The sequence below is a fragment of the Homo sapiens genome, chromosome 15 (genome assembly GCF_000001405.40).
Source record: "Homo sapiens chromosome 15, GRCh38.p14 Primary Assembly".
In the NCBI taxonomy this organism is placed as follows: domain Eukaryota; kingdom Metazoa; phylum Chordata; class Mammalia; order Primates; family Hominidae; genus Homo; species Homo sapiens.
This window is the reverse complement of record NC_000015.10, coordinates 89,380,297-89,399,014: the sequence shown is the minus strand read 5'-3', so window position 1 is coordinate 89,399,014 and position 18,718 is coordinate 89,380,297. Positions and strand designations below refer to the sequence as shown.

The window sequence follows — 18,718 nt, the reverse complement described above, 5'->3', positions numbered from 1 at the left end:
CTCATACATGAAAAAACTTATCAGCGGCTTTCAAGAGACTCACCACCCCCTGCATCCCATTCTGGTCACAGAGATGAGATCTGGAGGCCGACTCCACTGCTTCCCAGCTGTGTGGCTTTGCCTATTTCTTAAGTCTCTCTGAGCCTCTGTTTCCTAGTCTATAAGACAGAATTCAGTCTTATGGGGTCATTGTGAGAATTACATGAGAAGACACTGATGGAGGTTGAGAAGGAGCGTGGGGGCTAGCTCCCAATCCAGAACCTCCAGGACCCCTCTCCTGAGGGCAGGGCACCCTCAAGGCAAGGTAGGCCTTGCACTGGCCATGACCTTCACTTCTTGCCCAAATGACCCTAGCTCAGGTCAAGAAGACAGACTTTCCCAGCCTTGTAAGACTTCTTGCTCCATCCTTTGCACCCATACCAGTGTCCCCACCACACCGCAAGACACAAGCAGTTGTTTTTGCTGGTGGCGGAGTGCTACTTTCCTCACTCATGTCCTCCTAGAAAAACTGACCAGAGACACGGAAGCCTTTGCAAAGAAAATTTATTCGTTGTAGGCTGCAAGAAAGGCAGGGGGTTCACAGCATAGGAAGAGACCTCTCCCAGAGCTGGCCCTAGTACTCCCTCAGAACCTGTGGGGCTTGGAAGGGTCCTGGTGATTCAAGCTACCTGAGTGCCATCTCTGCCCTCCTACTTACGCTTCTCCAGCCTCAGCCTTCCCAGAGCCCCACACCAGGCCAGCCTCTGGGAAGTACTGGAGCAGGCCTCGGAGCAATCCTCATTTTCCTGCCAAGGACCCCAAGGAACAGCCAATCCTGCAGGAATGCAGATGACCAGCAGCCATGGGCTCCTATCTGTATGAGGCTCTGTAACCCTGTAAACCCCTCCTCTCACCCCACTGCCCAGTTCAGGTTTGGGCAAAACCCAGGGGATGGCATTAGGTGGAATTGCAGGAGAAGCCCAGCTAAAAGACTATTTGAGGTGACCCTGCAGGGGAAGGGTTAATGTCTCTATATGTGGGTGCCGGCAAGGGGAGTCTGCAGCTTTAGGGACCTCCTATAAGTGGCCAAACAGGATCTCTTTGGGGTCAGAGTACAGACTTTAAAGTCAAAGAGACTTGGTTTTGATCTCAGTTCTGGCACTTACAAGCTGTGTGACTTAGGACATGTAACTTAACTTTTCTGGGCCTCGGTGTCCTCATCTGTAAAATGGGTGTACCAACGACACCCACACCCCATAAAATGATGAGGAGTCACTGCACTAAGGCATGTGACCTGGGACCTGACAGCCTTCTGCACTTGGTCACTCTTATTGCTTTTTTCCTTCCCAGTCCACTGGCCCCACAGCCAATTTGAAGTGATTGTAGCTGTGCCCAGGCCTCAGGGACCAGGTTTCCCAGGCCCCTCTGGACAGCCCCATTACGCCTCTTTCCCTGCCCCCTGCCCCTGCTCCCTCCCAGGCTACTGAGGCCCTACTGAGAGCTCTCAGGCTGCTGCAGCCCCCGACCTAAGGCAGGTGTAGCCTGACCCTGCCCCCAGGGAGGGTGGTGTGCGGCATTACCTCTCAGAGACACCTTCCAGGCCATTTACTCTTTCAGGGATGAAGTAGGGGTGGCAAGTGCACTCCTGGGCACCCGCACTCTTCTGCTCTGTGATGTCTTTCTCTCCAGACACATGCTGCTTATGCAAATAGGCCCATTCACAGCCCTGTTCCCCATCCCCCAGCACGGTGATACTTCTGCGCTGTGGCCAGATGGGAGCACTTCCCAGTTCACCATGTCCAACACCTGGCATGACCCTGGTGCCTCTAAAGGCCTCTTCCCCCAAACAAGCAGGTCCTCAGGGCAGAGGGGCAATGTCTGCCCAGAAGGAAACTGGGAGCCAAGACCTATCCACCATCCCCCACTCACCTCCCCTGTCCCTAGCCAAGCTCCTGGCTCTGCCCTTCACCTACAAAGGAACTCCAACAAACCAATTAACCTCTTTCGATTTGGTGCAACTGGAAAAATGACATCCACGTAAGCAAGACCCAGAGACAGTAAGCCTGGCACTTAGTAGGTTTTCGATTAACACTAGCAACCATGATGATATGTGATTATTAGGCCCCAAAATGGCCCGTGGCTGAAGCCACCAGTGACTGTGGGATACTTTCTCCAGCAACATCACTACCACCCTCTTAAAGCACCCACGCCAACTTAGTTGACAGAAGTTAAGCCTATTACATTGAACCGCTTTACATCTTCCAATAAAAGTACCTTAGGAGCATGAAAAGAAAATATAACAGTATAGAAGAGTGCACTCCCCCATCCCCACTCCCCAGAGGTAGACTTCCAGTACATACTTCCAGAAACGATCTGTATATAAGCATACTTATGACTCAGTTTTAAACATCTACAAATAAGATCATACTCTACAGCCTGTTCTGTAACTTATTCTATTCACCTTATCATGTGAACTGGCCAACCTTCCACATCAACTCATATACGGAGATCTACCACACTGATTTTTACAGCTGCATAGGTATTCCACCGTATGAACGGACCACAGGTTCATGTCCATTTCTTTACTCTTCAAAAGAAATGCTCTGATGAACATCCTTGTATATAATTCTTTGGCAACTTTTACAAATATGCCCACAGAGTAAATAGTGCCATTTGTTTGTGACCAAGTATGTGTGCCTTTTACATTTTGATATTGCCACATTTCAGAAAATATTGCAAAATTTACACTCCCTAACCGACAGTGCTGGAGAGTGTCTTAAAATAGGCATGTGATGGTACAGAAACCACAAAATTAGCCAGCCAGTCGGTACAGGCCACAAAGGCACCCACAGAGCCAGCGAAGAATGGCACTGGACTAGCATGTTGTCCTTAGGGTGGTTCCCAGTGGTTTCTTCCTGTCCAGGCCTGTATAGGCTGGGGGCCCAAGGGTGCCCTGAATCAGAAGGGAGTGGGGCCCACAGGGGGACTGGGTGGAGGGCAGGCCAGCATGTCCCGCCTGAATGATTTCCTGCAGCCATTGTCTCTGCCCTGCCTGGTCTCCTTGGGGGGAGTTTATTCAGGGGCCTTTGGAGAGGGGGCTAGGCAGGAGGAGGGTGTGCAGTCCTCACCAAAGGCACCCAGGAATGTGTCATAGGAGGGGGAGAAAGAGGAGGGGGGAACTCATCCCTGGGAGAGACGGGACGTCAAGAACCCCTGACTAATGAATAGCGAGTTTGCCCTTGAACCTCACTGGGTTTCGCCATTCTCAGGCACAGAACAAGAGCTGAGACACGTCTGAGCCCAGCTGCACAGGGACGGCGGCGGTTCATCTCAGACACTTTGACAGGCTGGGCCTTTTCCCTGCATAGCTCAGATCTGCCTCCGTGCTCCCCTGGCAACAGCACAGCAGCATGGCTCCCGGGTCTAGGCCCTGCCTGCTGTGAGCAGGAGGAGGGAGGAAGAGGAGCACCAAGGGGAGGACAGCTGGGGAGAGGGAGTCATTAACTCCTAAGAGGCTGGAGTCCCTTGCTTTGGCAACTTTGCCAGTATGCTGCCCTTGGTCCCAGGCTGGAAACACGGTGAAGAGCTTCCGTTTGCTGGAGGCCTACCCAGAATGTTCCATGCACCTCAGACCCAAACAGACCTGACTAGGTGTGACAAGAACAGACACGGTGAAGAAGTAGATGCTAGGCCAATGGGCCAAAGACAAAGGCCCTTAAGGGATGGGTTGGGGTACATTTTCCCAGGTCCCCTGCCAAGTCCCAGATGGGCAGATTATGGGGTCCTCCTCCTCCATCCTGGCCCCTGGCTGTTACAACTTCAGGACAGAGGCTACTTGTTCTCCCTTCCTGCTGGGCTTTTTTCCCTTCTGAGGCTCTTGCATGTCCTGGGGTGGCTTGGCTCTGTATTCCAATCCTGTGACCTTGGCAAGAGCCACAATTCCTCTGTCTCCATTGTCATAAAAGCTGAAAAGAGGCTGTCCGATCATACTTCACTTCACAGGACAATCTAAAGATAAGAGAAATAATATGTGAGAAGCTTTGCACTCTGGGGAGGAAGGTGTCCTATAAATCTCATTCAGGTATTATTAGGGCTGAAACTAGGTATTTCTGCCCCCTGGGGAAGGAGGGGCGGTGGGCTGGGGGGAGGAGCTCCTCCAAGGTTGTCTCAGCACTTCCCCAGCAGGGCAGTCCTGAAACTCAAAGGCAAGAGGTCAGGAAAGTTAAGGGTTTATGTCTGTGGCCTTTGAAGCCTCTGGGTGCAGCTGGCACTAGAAGGTAAGAGAGAACATCATTTCAAGGTACTTTATCTGTGTTATTTCTATGCCTCACTGCAACTTTATGAGAAAGGTGTGGTTATCTTCATGTTAGAAATAAGGAAATAGAGGATCAGAGAAGCTAAGGAGCTGGCCCAAGGTCATGCCAGTCATATAAGATGCTGAGCCCACATCCATGTATCAGCTGTACCAGTGGAAGAGCCTCCTAGCAGGGGTGCTGCGGAGAGGGGTCAGCACCAAAAAGTAGTGTTTCCCCCATGGTTGCTTCTCAGGGATTGGAGCTTTTGAGTCTAAAGCTTCTGGCCTAAGGAAGTGGAATGGGACAAATCCCAAAGAGAGCACTGCAAACCCACCTTGAGGGCCACCTGAGCAAACAGAGCCACCAAGGCAAATGCCATGCAGAGCAAACAGAAGTAGAACAAAGGACAAAGGCATCCAGATTAGAGGCTGGGAGTGCACCTAGGTGAGACTCATGCTCTCTGCCCAAGTCTTGCTCCAGGACAGGTTACTGCCCAGCCCCACATCCCTTGCCAGCAGTGAGCTGGGTTTTCATTTTTGTAGCCTCTAGGTAATGGTGCCTCATTGCATCCCAGGCCAGCTTGAACGGGACAAAGCTAACTATGTTTCCTGTGAGCCAGGGGGCTGGGAGCAGGGGTTACTGGCAGGTAACAGAGTAGAAAAGGCAGGAAGAACTCCCAGATGAAAAAATGCAGGGCTAAAAGGGACCTCAGATACCATCTTATTCAATGTTCCTTTTCTTTTTTCTCTTTCTCTTTCTTTTTTAAGAAATAGGATCTGGCTCTGTCATCCAGGCTAGAATGCAGTGGTATGATCACTGCAGCCTTGGAACTACTGGGCTCAAGTGATTCTCCTGCCTCAGCTTCCCAGGTAGCCAGAACACTTGGCTAATTTTTTCATTTTTTAAGAATAGGGTCTCACTGTTCTCAAACTCAGGCTGTTCTCAAACTCTTGGCCTCAAGAGAGCCTCCTACTTCAGCCTCCCCAGTTACTGGGATTACAGGTGTGAGCCACTACACCTGGCTCAATGCTACTTTTCTGGATCCAGTAAAGGAGGTGGCTTGCCCAAGACCACTCAGTGGGAAAGTGGGCTAGAGTCCAAATCTCTGACTTCCAGCTAGGTAAGGTTGTGTCTTCCTATGCCCTTGTCACTTAACCAGACCACCTTAGGCCCTCAAAGGCATTAATTTCACCCAACAAGGCAAAGAGATAGGCCAGGTAAAATAAGTCAGTGTTGGCTAAGTGCACCACGTGTCCAGGTGTGGCCTCAGAAAGCCTGGGGCTGGGGGAAGACGCTGCCTGCCTTGAGGCCAGAATCTTTCCATGATGATAGAACATGGCTCCACACTACCCCAACACCACACTCCCATACTCCACAGTCAGATAACAGAAACCATGAACTTCCCCAGGCTGATGAAGAAACAGGCACGAGGAGTTAGATCAGAGAACAAACAGACCCTCTAATCCTGACCCATGGTGCTTTTGAGAAGAAGGGACAGGAAGGAGGGGGCAGCTCTAGGGGACGTGAGGATGGCGAAAGCCCACAGAAGCAGCTCTTCCCCAGAGCCTGGTGGCAGGTCTGCTGCCAGCTTGGGGCAGGAGCTGGGAAGGCCCTCAGCTCACTGCCCTCTGCTTCCGGGTCCTCTTCCAGGTCAGGCAGGGTGCCCCATGCTAGGCCTGACTTGCTTGAATGCAAAGATCTCAGGATCCCGCATCCTGCAACCTCCTCAGGAGCTGCCCTCAAGGGATGTCTGTATGCTTGCTGATAAATGGACTCATGATGGGGCAGAAAGATATAGGGAGAAGTTCTGCTCAGCTGTGCCCTCCTCCCTGGGTGATGATTTGGGCCAGGTGTCATTCTGACTGGTTGGTGCCCAACCTGTACAGGTGGTTAAATATTCTGAATATCACCACTGTCCCCATTCCCCAAATCTCAGCTATCTTAAGTGACCTGGAGAAGCTTAACTCCTTCATCTCTGCCCCATATCTAAGGGAAAAGGAGAAGAAAAATTAACCCCACTGAGTGTTTCCCGTGTGCCCAAGAGTCTTCATAGCAGCTCCAATGGAGGTAGGGATTATGATGCTCATTTTACAAATGAGGGTTTGGAGGCTCTGAGACATCCAGGGTCTGCTGCAGAGTCATGGCAGAAGCAGAGCCCTGGGCCTCGACCCACAGCATCTTCTCCTCTGTCCCTACCCTCCAGCCAAGGTCCAAGGCCTGGGCTGCCCCGGTTCTGCTGAGCTGGATGCCTCAGAACCACTTGCGCTTGCATTTGCACCCCCACCTCAATTTCCTGTCTCTCCTGGCTTCTCTCAGGGCCCATCGCTGAGAGAATCAGGGGTTCATCTCAGGGGTTCTCTCCCCTTCTCATCTAGGCAGGGGAGCCATTCCACCCGGCATACTTGCTTAGTTCTAGACAAATCCCCACCCCTGACTACCCCAACAGCTGACCAGGGGGATGATACCTGTGACTTACAGAGACTTCTTCTAACTGGGATTGGCAGCCAGAGGATTTGGGAGCTGGGGTAAGGGTGGGGGCAGCTACCAAACAATGAAATCTTAGCCATGCAGAAAGGGCCAGAAAGCCCTAATCTTGGGAACTTTCCTCTTGAGCGACAAAGAGGAGGTGATGCCCGACTGCGTGCAGGGCCTGTGCCTCAGCCCTCCACTGGGCACCACCCGTGCTGGGTCCAGCCCTGCCGGGCCACTGCCTTAGAAGGAGGAGCTGCGCTCGGAATGTGATTCTCCAGCTTTGCATGACACTCTGTTAGCAGAGTGCGACTCCCAAGATCCCCTGTCACCTCCTAAAGCCTCTGCCAGCCCGCCCCCCAGCACCACAAGGATCACCAGATTAAGGAGCTCAGAGCTACAGCTGAGGCGGCTAAACCCTGGGAGGTAGGAATGGGGAGGGGCAGGGAGGGCAGTGGGCAGCTCTCCCAAGGCCCTGCTGCCCTGCCTCTTCTCCCAACCGATACTGTAGGCAACTCTCTCACTCTATCCTTGCCATGAAGCGCTAACTTCTATCCTCTTTTCTTCATTGAGCTTTGGAATTTACCACCAGTTATCCAGCTTGAGTTAGGAGCAGCTCAGGGAGACAGGGAAAGGGGTAGAAAAAGAGGTCCCCCAGAAACAGAAATAGAAAGAGAGAGAGAGGCGGAGAGGGGAAAGGCAGCCCAAATGGAAGGAACAAGTGCACTGCATGTGGGAACTGGCTGGCACCGCAGCATGGGAAGGAAGGTCCCTGCTGGAAGGGAGGCCCAGGGTCTCTCCCCTGCCTGGCCTGAGTGGCTACCTGAGGTTAATTCCAGAGGCTCCTTGTGGGTGGCTCTGGTCAGCTGCCTGGCCCCAGTGCAAGATACATCCCACAACACCTGATGAGAGAGTGGGAGGGTGCCAGAGATGGGGAGGCTGGCAAAGAAGGAGCCAGACACCCTGACCGCTGAACCTGAGACCCCCGCACTGAATAGCAGGGTGATGCTTCATCCCACTCCCCACCCACCACCTGGGGTTATTCTGAAGGGCTATGGAGAGTTCCCACTCTGAAGTTTCCAGATGAACCCTGACCCTTCTCAGCCCTGTCCCCTGCCCACCCCCACCAACCCCATCCCAGGACCTGCAAGGGGCAACCAGGACACACCCAGGGCCCTGGCCAGCAGCTGCTATCCCTCCAGCTTCTTCTTTGCCACTGCCAAGCTCCCTTCTGCTGGGCCAGGGCCTGCTTCTCACCACTGCAGGGTAGGGATGGGGAAGGGCTCCTCTGTGAAGACCTGGGAAGACAGGCTCTGCCTGCTCCTGGTCCTCCCCACACTCTGAAAACAGGAGCCCACACTGAATATCAACAGGGATGAACTCCTTCCTGCAACACTCCCCTCCACCCCAGCCAGAATTCATTAGTCCCATTCCTGTCATTGTGCTACATCAGTGAATGCTACATCAACACAGTTTTGAAGTGATCACCACTGCTACCACCATCAGAGGTTTTCTGAGCTAGAAGAGAGCCAAGAGATTCCTGAAGCTCCACTCACTCCTCTTGCCAACAAGAAAACTAAGATTCAGGAGTCGGGGTCACTTGGCCTGCCTGAGGTCACATAGAAGCTGGTAGCAAGGACATGCCTTACGCCCTGTCTACCAGACCCCTTTCCTTTCAGGGCCAGGCCTCTAGGAGGTCCTAAAAGGGAGCTTCTCCATCATATCCCACACAAGATCCTGGTCCAACCACAGGCGGCAGGGGTCTGGGGACAGGGGAGGCCGTAATGCGATCAGCAGACTGGCCATCTGGCTCGGGGACGGAGAAGAGTCCAGACTGGCTGTTTCTGCTGCCCGGTCCCGAGGGGCCCTGTGTCGCAAGAGACAGACTGCCAGATGGACAGGCACTGGCCTGGGTCTGGGAGGAAGCCAGTGAGTCCCAGTAGTCAGAGCTGACCAACTTTCAAACATGGAGGGGTGGCAGGGAGAAGGCACAGGGAGCAAAGCCAGGCCCCCCAGAGGTCAGAGAGACAGAACTACAGGATGGGAAAGCCGTGATTCCCCAGCCAGGCTCAGAGCCTGGCTCCCCAGGTAGGCCCAGCCCATATCAGCTCCAAGACCCCAGCCTACTGGCCAGCCACAAACAGGGCCCCCTCCCGGGGAAAGGCAAACACATCTCCCCTGGCACCTTCTCAGACATGCATGCAAAACTAATTAACATGGGGAGACATGCGAGCAGCCGGCCAGCTCCACACCCTCGAGTCCACGCAAACAAGGCGAGCCCTTGTCCAGGGGACGTGCACAAAGCTTTGTTGCTAATTTAGGCATCTGTCTCTGTCTGGTCTGGTCCTCCTGCCTGCGCTGGGGTTTTTCCCAGCCCCTTGGACAATGCTGGGAACAGGCCCACCGATCCCTTATTCAAATCACACCCGGGACAATGAGCTCATTGTGCAGGCCACAGAAAAGGGGATGCTGGGGGTGGGAGTGTATAACGGGGCATCAGGGAGTAGAGAAGGGTGGGGGGTGTAAAGAAAATGGGAACCCAGGAAAGTGTTTACTAACACAGCCCCTGCAGCTGCCTTGGGCCCCCTTGCCCCCCTGCCCCCCCTCAACCTGGCTTGGAGCTGGGGGGAAGTGCTGGGACTCAGAGGTGGGGGGCCCCAGAGTAGAAGAAGGCTCAAACCTTCATTTTGTTGACCTCTCCCACCTTTAACAGTTTATAGCTACCTCTGCATGTCCAAGGCCAGGCACATTTTTTAATAGGGTGGTTTGGGGGTTTGTTTTATTCTTACTTCAGGCTTAAATGTGCAGATCCCAACTGCAGAAGAGGAGACAGGGCTGAGGGGAGAGATGCTGGTGGCTGTGCAGGGTGGGACCTGCTGTCTCGGCCATTGTCTTCAAGCAATGTTTCATGTTCTCCTCCTTTCCAGCTAATAAATTAGAGAAGAGACGGTGAGCTGCGAAGGGAGAGGCTCCCCATGGATGGCGGCAGAGGGCTAGAAGGCAAGTCTGGGAGCTCACGGCAGATGGGGCTCACCCAGCCCAGCGGCTGCTCACACCACACCTGGTCAGACACTCGCATGCAGCCCCACACAATGAGCAGCATGGAAAAAAATACACACACACACACACACACACACACACACACACACACACGCATCTCCTGAGGTCCCTGAGGAGGACAGCTGGGCTTTGAAATGCCCTTCCTCTTTACCGCCACCTCCCCCAGCTCCTTGTTGCACTGAGCGCGCCTAGACAGGCCGACAGAAACAGACACACATAGCCTGACACTGACACGCAGACACAAAAAAAACCATGCACACCCAGAGGCAGCCCCAGACACACACACTGACAATGGTGTAATGAATGCAGGAGGGCAAGTGCATTCAGTCAAAAGCCCACACCCTGGCTGCCCAGCACTGGGGTGGCTAAAAGGTGATGGAGAGGCTGTGAGCTGGCTCTCCCAAAAACCTCCTCCCCAGGGCTCCCAGGACTGCTGCCGGTGACACAGGAGGTGAAGTAAAATACCGTTTCAGGCATCCAGATGGAAGCAAATTCCTCTGGAGACAGAAAAGCATGGAACTGGTCTCAGCCCTTAGTCAGTATTGGCTGAACTGTCTGGAATTTTTTTTATAATAAAAGAAAGGGTGCTCAAAACTCATCTGAAGTCCCCTGCATTTTGAGACGATATACCTTGAAGCTGGGGCAAAGTGGAGCCTTGCTAGGACAGTTTCCTACTGCAGTACAATCCACAGGCTACAGTCATCCTTCCTGCTGTTAAAAAAAAAATTCTGTGAAGGGTATCGTAGGATGAAGAGGAACACAAATGGTTAAAGTATCAGAAACTCTTTAAAATGTGTTTCTGGGGATCCCTCTACCATCCCAGAGGAATGGAACTGTAACATGTTGAACCATAAGAAATTGCCAATATTTGACTATTTTTCATCAACAAGAAAGAAATTTCATATGGGTCAACCTGGTAAGTGCTGGTTCCAAGGACCACCAAGGATATTTTCCCTTTTTAAATTAAATTACATTTTTTTTAGAGACGGGTCTCATTCTGTCACCCAGGCTGGAGTACAGTGGCGTGATCATAGCTCACTGCAGCCTGAAACCCCTGAGCTCAAGTGATCCTCCAGCCTTAGCCTCCCGAATAGCTGGGACTGCAGGTGTGCCATCATACCTAATATTTTCCCCTTTTAAATGTCCTTCCCAAACTGGGTTATTTTCTCCCTGAAGTAGAAAAAAAAAACAGTATTCCAAAACCTAAATCTACCTTGGACCATCCATCTACAGCCACATAAATACACTGCACAAAGAGGTCAGAACAGCAGCTGGAAAGAACTGCGAACACACATGCGCAGCCCAATGCCCATGTCAGGAAGGAACCCACCTTCAGACTCTTGCCACCGGGGCTTCTGCTTCTCTTTTCGCTGTCTTCTGACTCCAGAGCATGTCCTAGATGGGGACAGAGGAACATGAGAGGGAAAACAGAACTGGAAATGGGTCAACTGCGCACCCGGCCTCTCCAGCACTGGACTCTGCACGTGCTCTGCCTTGGAAGAAGCATCTCCTGGGCAGTCTCATAACTGAAGCACATGCTGTCCACTGGCTGCCATATTCAAACCCAAGGCCAGCCTCTGTGCATGCGGTATTCATCCAGCAAACCACCTCCAGGAGACCCAGGCAATGGAAGCCGGAGGGTGTGGACGCCACCCAGCGTAGGGAAGGCCTACTCATTGCCAGCATCTGGACATCCACTGGTCCCGTTGCTCACTGTCACAGAAGTCAGAGCACACTGCGTCTTCCTGGGAAATCACCCTCACCAATCTCTCTGGGGCTTCCTAGGGAAGGAAAGGTTGGAGGCTTCAGAAGCAGAGCCCAGCACTGCTCTGTGTCTCACCACCTGCTTCTCACCTGGCCACAGAGGAAAGCCTGTTCCATGCGTGCCCATCCTGCCCACCAGCAGCAGCTGCTGAGGGTGCACACTTCCCCTGAAAACCTTTCTGGTGGCTAAGGACCTGGGGCTCTATTTAAAGATATGGAACCACCTTCTATACAGCCAGATGTGGCACAGTCCCTCTTATATCCTTGACAAATGCTATGTAATTTCTGAGAGCTTTATCTTACTAACATACACACACCAACCTCAACAAAACCACCAAAATAGCAATAATAATAAGATGAAACTTACTGCCCTTTCCACTCCTGGAAGGTGAATGACAGAGGCTGCAATTTGGGCTTTAGGGCTGGTGAATTCATTTGCAGGACTAGGCCCAACCCAGGGGCTATAAGAATGACTCCCCAAAACCTCAGCTGTATGAAGAGAGGCAGCTGGGTATCCCCCATTGCTAACTTATATGCAGGCCCACCTGCCAAAAACTGTACTCAGGATCCAACCTGGGTGCAAGGTAGCATGAGAACCAGGGTAAAATTCTAGCCTTCGTGCTCTGAACAGCATCTGATTTCTTCTGAGGAAGAGAAACCTACACGTGAATTCATCAAGATGTAAGTTATTGTTTGATTACATTTAAGATGTTTCCTACCAATCTCACAAGTAAATCTCCATAGATTACTGCTATTTTGATTTGTAAAATCAAACTGCCTTTTAGTCTGGGTGTGGTGGCTCATGCTGTAATCTCAACACTTTGGGAGGCCCAGGTGGGAGGATCGCTTGATGCCAGGAGTTTGAGGCCAGCCTGGGCAACAAAGACCCTGTCTCTACAAAATAAAACATATTTTTTTATTTTTATAAAATAAATATAAAAGTCTGGCTGTGGTGGCACATGCCTGTAGTCCCAGCTACTCTGGAGGCTGAGGCAGGGGAATTGCTTGAGCCAGAAGTTCGAGGTTATAGTGAGCTATGATCAGGCCACTGTACTCCAGCCTGGCTGACAGAGCAAGACCTTGTCTCATAAAAAAAAAAAAAAAAAAAAAAAGGTGTCTTTTTAAATGAAGAAAGGGAAACTGAAATGTCACAATTCTATACAGAAACAATGCAATCTAGAGAATTACAGTTCTAGCTGAGGCTAAACGACAGCTTAAGGTCATCACGGGCAAAGCATGACATGGCCTCTGACCCTGTTCTCCCAGGCTCTTGGGACATGGAGAGGGGCAGGAAAGCCAATAAGCCACAAACTGATGATAAGTGTCAGACCCGGAGTGCCTGCTAGTCTAGCACGCCACCCCCGCTAGCCCGGCCTTCCAGCTCTAGATGGATGTATGCCTTTCCACACCACAAGCGAAAGTGCTGGGCCAGGGAATGTGGTTTCCCTCTCTGTATCCCCAGGGCCTTGCCCAGAGGCTGACACATAATGTGTGGTCAATAGACATTGAATGAATAAATGAGTGTGGTAAGAAAAAATACAGTGTGGCATGGGAAGACTTCCAATTTCAGAGCCGCGCAGTTCCCTTGCAAAGTGGGAAATGGCTCCACAGCACAGCCCTGGGGCTGCTGACGTCCAGGCCAGGAACCATAAGAGGTGAGTGGCACAGGATGGGTGTGGCTGCTCAGCTCAGGTTGGCCTGGGCAGCACAAGGCCTGACAGCCTCCAGTGCCCACCCATCTTGCACATGGTGACCATACCAATTCTCTTAGCCTGCTCCCTACCTCTGTCATTCTTATCCTCCACCATCTGACCTGACCTATACCCAAATCTCAGGCCCAGTCCAGCAGGACTCCTCCTCCCGCTTCATCTCCACCTCTAAGGTCCTGGTCAGAGAGTTCTCCCCATTGGTAGGGATGCCCTGTCTTGCCCTCTCAACAGCCTAGAAGACCTGTTTGGGCACAGTGAGGCTTCTCCGCCTCAATCTAATTCCTCTTCTCTTAACTCCCAAGGACAGAGACAAAACATCAAAACAATCTGCCCCTTGGATTTTTTGTGCTGCCTTAGGCTAGCAATACTAGTTTCTCTGCTCCTAGAGGTCAGGGGTTCTCCCTGCACTGCAGAGCTTATGGCTGGTCTGTAAACACCACAGCTTATTGTAGAGTGACTAACAGAGAGCTGACTGACCCTGGTCCCTTGCTGGCCACCTTACCTGGCCTTTACTCGTGACAGACCAGCAAGATGGGGGATGCATCTTGAGTGTCACAAGGTAAGTATTACTATTCCCAATTTTGCAGATGGGAAAACTGGCTCAGAGGAAGAGGGGAAGGGGTGTCCTGTGGGTTCTGAATTAGGTCAGACCAACCCCTCCACCTGGATACCCACTGGGCCACACTGCCTCTGCCTCACACCACCATGGTCTTGGAGTCTGTGACCCACAGTAGAAGAGAGAACAGTGGACTCAATACTGGGTAAAAGCTACAGATTCAAAGGGAAGGGGTGGCTATAAACTTGAGACTTGTTTCTTTACTCCCTTTTCCCCCAGCACTCATCAAGGATGTAACATGCCTTCAGAGGCATGTGCCACCTCTCCTAACCTAAGGAGACAGCAGGAGCTATGGTGCAGAACTGGGCAGATAGGAGGAAGGCTTGATATTCTCTGCTTAAGGACAAGATGAGATGGGACAGAGGATGTGGGCCCCCTTCCCTCCTCCAGAAGATCATACGTGCTACATCAGGGGGATATAACATTGCAGAAAGTAAAAGGCCAGCATCATCCCGAGCAGCCACAATCCCTTGGCACTGTGGGCAGGCTGGTAGGCTTGGGCCAACCCCCTAATTTTACAGACTGAGGCACAGCAAGGATATGGGGCACACAATTAGGAGATGAATCCAGACCGGGTGGTATGCTGCTCACCCCTCTAGCACCGCACCAAGGCTCCCAGGGGCCCAGCATGGAGCCCTCCCATCTTGATTCTCCAGGTGTACTGCCAGCCTCAAGCAGGAAACACTGCAGAGGCATCCTTTGGCAACGCAAATGAACTCATGCTGCTTCCCAAAGCCCAGGCTGATTCTCTGGGAGACAAGGACTCACTGGGGGCTGATAGTCCCTCCTATGCAAGGTTTGTAGCTCCTGTAACACACCCCATGCAGTCACCCAAATGGCATTTGGCTTAGAAAAGAAGGGCAAATCCCTGGTCAGATTTACTGTTCTTTTTTCTCCCCAAGAGATGGCCCTCAAAAGAGATACAATATACAAAGCATTAGCACAGAACCTGGCAGAGTCAGTGCTCAGTAAATGGTTCCTGTCCCCATCGTCATGACTCATTATGGCCTCCCCGATGCCCCTTCCTTACCTCCCAGGCTCATGTGAGGGGCCTTCTTTTTATAAACTCAAGGCTTACTGGAGCTGGAAGGCCCTTAACTCAGTCTAGGGTTTCCAGGGGAGGAAACTGGAGTTTCTGAGGGGGAAAGGGGGCTGGAGGCAAGCCCAGACCCACAGCCAGGGGTCCTCCAAGGGCAGAAGGCTAACTGAGGCCCCTCTGCCCTTTGACAGCAGTATGAGCCCAGCATCTCCCTGGAAAATCTCTCTGAGGCCCTCAGCCTTGGCAGGGAGCCAGGGCAGGAGGCCTCTCCAAGAAGACGCTGGCTCTGAGCCAAGACGCATCCCAGAAGCTCCAAGCTCACGGAGAGCAGCACAGGCTGAGGGGAGGAGGGGCAGCCAGGAGAGGGGCGACAAGGAGCCCTCGGGCCAAAGGAAACAAACCTGCTGAAAGTGGGTTTGGCACGAACCTGGGATGCATGGCTGCCTTCCCATGCCCTGTGGTTTCTGCACATCTGGGAGACTATGAAATCACTGCTAGGGACAGGGGAAGGAGGACGACCCTCCTGTTATCTACAGCTGTGCCCATTCAAACTCCACTGGGGCAGTGCTAAACCTTCATCCAAAGACTCTTCTGGGGTTTACCCATTGGCTGCCTTGTCCCCACCTTAAATGCTGAAAAATACAATGTTGCCTGCAGATTCAAGCCACGACTTCTGCCTCCAAGGACTGGGGGGTAATCCCCATTTAAAGGGCTGAACTAGGCACTCCTAAAAGCCCCTTAAGGCCCGAGGCTCTCTACTTGCCTCCTCTCTAGCTTTTCCATGGACCTCTATGCACAGAACCCTGTGTGGCCAGAGGCCTCCTGGGGGGAGATCAGGATTAGTTACTAAGCACTGGGGATGGAGGAGGTCTTGAGCATCTAGTGTAGACCTCACTGTCCAGTGAAAATATGTCAGTTCCAAGTATAATTTTAAATGTTTCAGAAGCCTCATTAAAAAGTAAGAATGAACAGGTCATTTTAACAATATATTGTACTTAACCCAACATTATCATTTCAACATGCCACACTGACCACATTTCATGAGATCAATAGCATGTGTGTCTAGTGGTTATCATAAAGGACAGCACAGCTCTTGACAACAGCAACTTCTCCCCATTTTCAGAAGAGGATGAGAATGTGGTCCAAGTATCTAAGAAAAGCACACAAGGATAGAAAGGGAAGCCCCAGCTGTGCCCATCAGCCTTTCCCTTCAGTTTCCAAATACATAGTCATGGCCTATGAAATAGATAATTTTATGATCAATCAAATTCAGGGAGACTGCAACATAAACCTATTTTGAAACAGACAACCCAGAAATGAGCAGAAATGAATATACTTGACATTACAAGGCTAAGGAACAAAGACCAACAGGAAGACACAAGAGGGAGGCTCTGGGAGACCTCTGCATTAGATGCCAGTCTTGCTAAGGACCTCTATTTGTACAATCTATGCTCAGGGCCACCTGGCTCCTATGGGGTGTAAATACACTCCAGCACTGGGTTTGGTGAATTTTCTACCATGTATCCCTGTAGGAACTACCCACAAAAGCTCCTCTCTGCTTTAGAAGGCAAGAACAAGTCGTGCATTTACCCAGTGCTTCTAGTCTTCTTACTCCGAGTCGCCATGCCAACACACAGTCATAATTACCGAGGAACGCGTCAATAGTGGCAGCATTGACAAAGACACTATATCAGGGCCTGTAAGCTAAGCAAGGTCAGGCTCCTCGAAGCCCCCCAGCTTCCTTCCCACTTCCTTTATTCCACTCTGATCCATTTCTTTCTCTTCGTTCTTTCTCTCCCACCCAGATGGTCTCTGATTATATTTTCTCTGCAGAGAAAGGAACTACAGCTCAGCATATAAAACACTTTTATAGCAATTGGGAGACAGGTTCTCCTTGGAGTCCTGATTTTAACTTGTGGGAAAAGTCACTTTAACATCCAGGCCTCAGTTATTTTGCCGTGAATGGGGAGAATATTTTGGATATTGCCTATTCAGCAAATGGGTGGCTGCATTTAATTCGCCTTCTAAATTCAGGGCTGATTTGTGTTATCTGGTCGACTCTAAGATCATCTTTCTGATCTGCACCAGAGGTACCAGAAGCTCAGGGAAACAAAAGGCAGTTCAGCTCAGAGAGGGAGCTGGTTTTAACACCTCAAGAACAGCAGGGCTTGTATTTCTCCCCAGGAAGGGCAAAAGTCTCAAAAAAGGAGCCAGGAGCAGCTGAACGGTGGGCTCTATCAGATTATAAAAAGATAAGTGGGACAGATGAGAACTATCAGGCTAAGTGACAAGCATCCTGAGGCCCCCAGTGAGAAACAGGACATGCACCCATTTAAAACGAGAGGTCAGAAAAAGGCAGACAGCCATCACCAGAGCCCTACACAAGAGCGCCCCAATTTCAGAACACCCAGTGCACCAACATCTGAACTTACAAAGGAGATAAATTGGAGGCTGATGATTAGCATCACAAAATGATTATTCCCTTTGTAAAAGGCTTCACTGCAGGACTGCTTTAAATAGTGCATTTAAACCATGATCTGATTTGCTAAATTCGATTTATACACATCTACTGCCTAAGCTGGCGTGGGGCTGTATTTACATGTCTTCCCTTGGCACAGAGGAGGGGAGAAGCCAGCCATTATTTGGGGCCTTTAATCCTTGTAGACAGTAACTAATCTGGGGAGCTGAACCCTGTTTTTCTTCCACAGCTGGGGCTTTAGCTGCAAACAAGCCCTAGTTACCTACTCTGCTTTGCCCATGCAGATTCTACCCAAAGATGACAGAATTTGGCCAGGATCTGTTGGAGCCTTTCTACCAACGGGGGCTCCCATCAAGAAGCATAACCCTCCCCACATCCAGGGGTGACACCTTTCCAGCCTAGAATTCCAGAGAATCTGGTCTGTTGCAGGGTCACTAAATTTATTCAGCACCTACAGTTATCATGCCAGGGATTCAAAGGCTACCTTTTGGGAGCCATGGAAATTTACTAATCTAAGCCACGTTCTGTGATTTGTACTTAAGCCATGGGAATCAAACCTGAGCAAGTACAGAAAGGCTGACTCTCCACCCAAAGAGGATAAAAGAATGAGTCGGCCAGGTCTCATGGCCATTGTGCTGGTGGGGAAACCTCCCTCAGTTCACCTAAAGGGACTTGCAGGTGTCACTGACAACATAGTCCCCCAAGACACAAATGACCCTTTCCTATAAGGTTCAATAATGTGATGGGGCAGTTAGGAATAGGATGACTGCCAAAAGGGAAAACACACTACCCACCTCGTACCACTTGCCAGGAGAGAGACCTAGGGAATTAAGGATCAGGAACCTAACATTAAAAAAAAAGGCCCCCTAGAAAACTGAAGTCAGGGACTTCCCCTCTACCACCGCCCCCATCCCCTCATTATCAGAAGTTTTAGCCCCACTCAATTATCAAATATTTAGACACCCACAATGATGAGTCCAGCCCAGCACTAGGAACTGGGGGCAAAGAAAGGAACAAGGCAGCATCCAGGTCTCAGCAATTTATAGTGAGGAATGGAGTCGCTAGACCACAATTAAACTATCTCCAAGTTGAGAAGCCCACTAAAGCCTGGTCATGAGAGGATGGGAACTGGACTGGGAGTCAGGACCCCTGGGTCTCAGTCCTCACTGTATGAGCTAATTTTGTGACCTTGGTGAAAATCACTTAACCTCTCTGGACCTGGTTCCTCATCCGTGACATGAGCAGTTGACCTACATAATCACTAAGCTTTACATTTTCTATAAGTCTTATGCAGGAAAAATGTTCATC

General features: G+C 51.1%; 1 long non-coding RNA gene across 41 annotated transcripts in view; it reads right to left on the bottom strand.

Moving 5' to 3' along the window:
- Positions 1–526: 526 nt before the first annotated feature.
- Positions 527–18,718, bottom strand: part of MIR9-3HG (MIR9-3 host gene) — a 36,910-nt gene continuing 18,718 nt past the window's right edge. For 12 of the 41 annotated variants that reach the window (NR_190310.1, NR_190322.1, NR_190312.1 and 9 more), the window contains 4 exons: positions 11,134–11,198; positions 10,434–10,514; positions 9,533–9,670; positions 527–3,987 (listed from right to left, as the gene is read on the bottom strand). This is a non-coding gene — a long non-coding RNA (MIR9-3 host gene). Of the gene's footprint in view, positions 3,988–9,532; positions 9,671–10,433; positions 10,532–10,923; positions 10,974–11,133; positions 11,199–11,476; positions 11,585–18,718 lie in introns of all 41 variants that reach the window. The other 29 variants (NR_133001.2, NR_190321.1, NR_190311.1 and 26 more) reach the window with 11 other exon arrangements.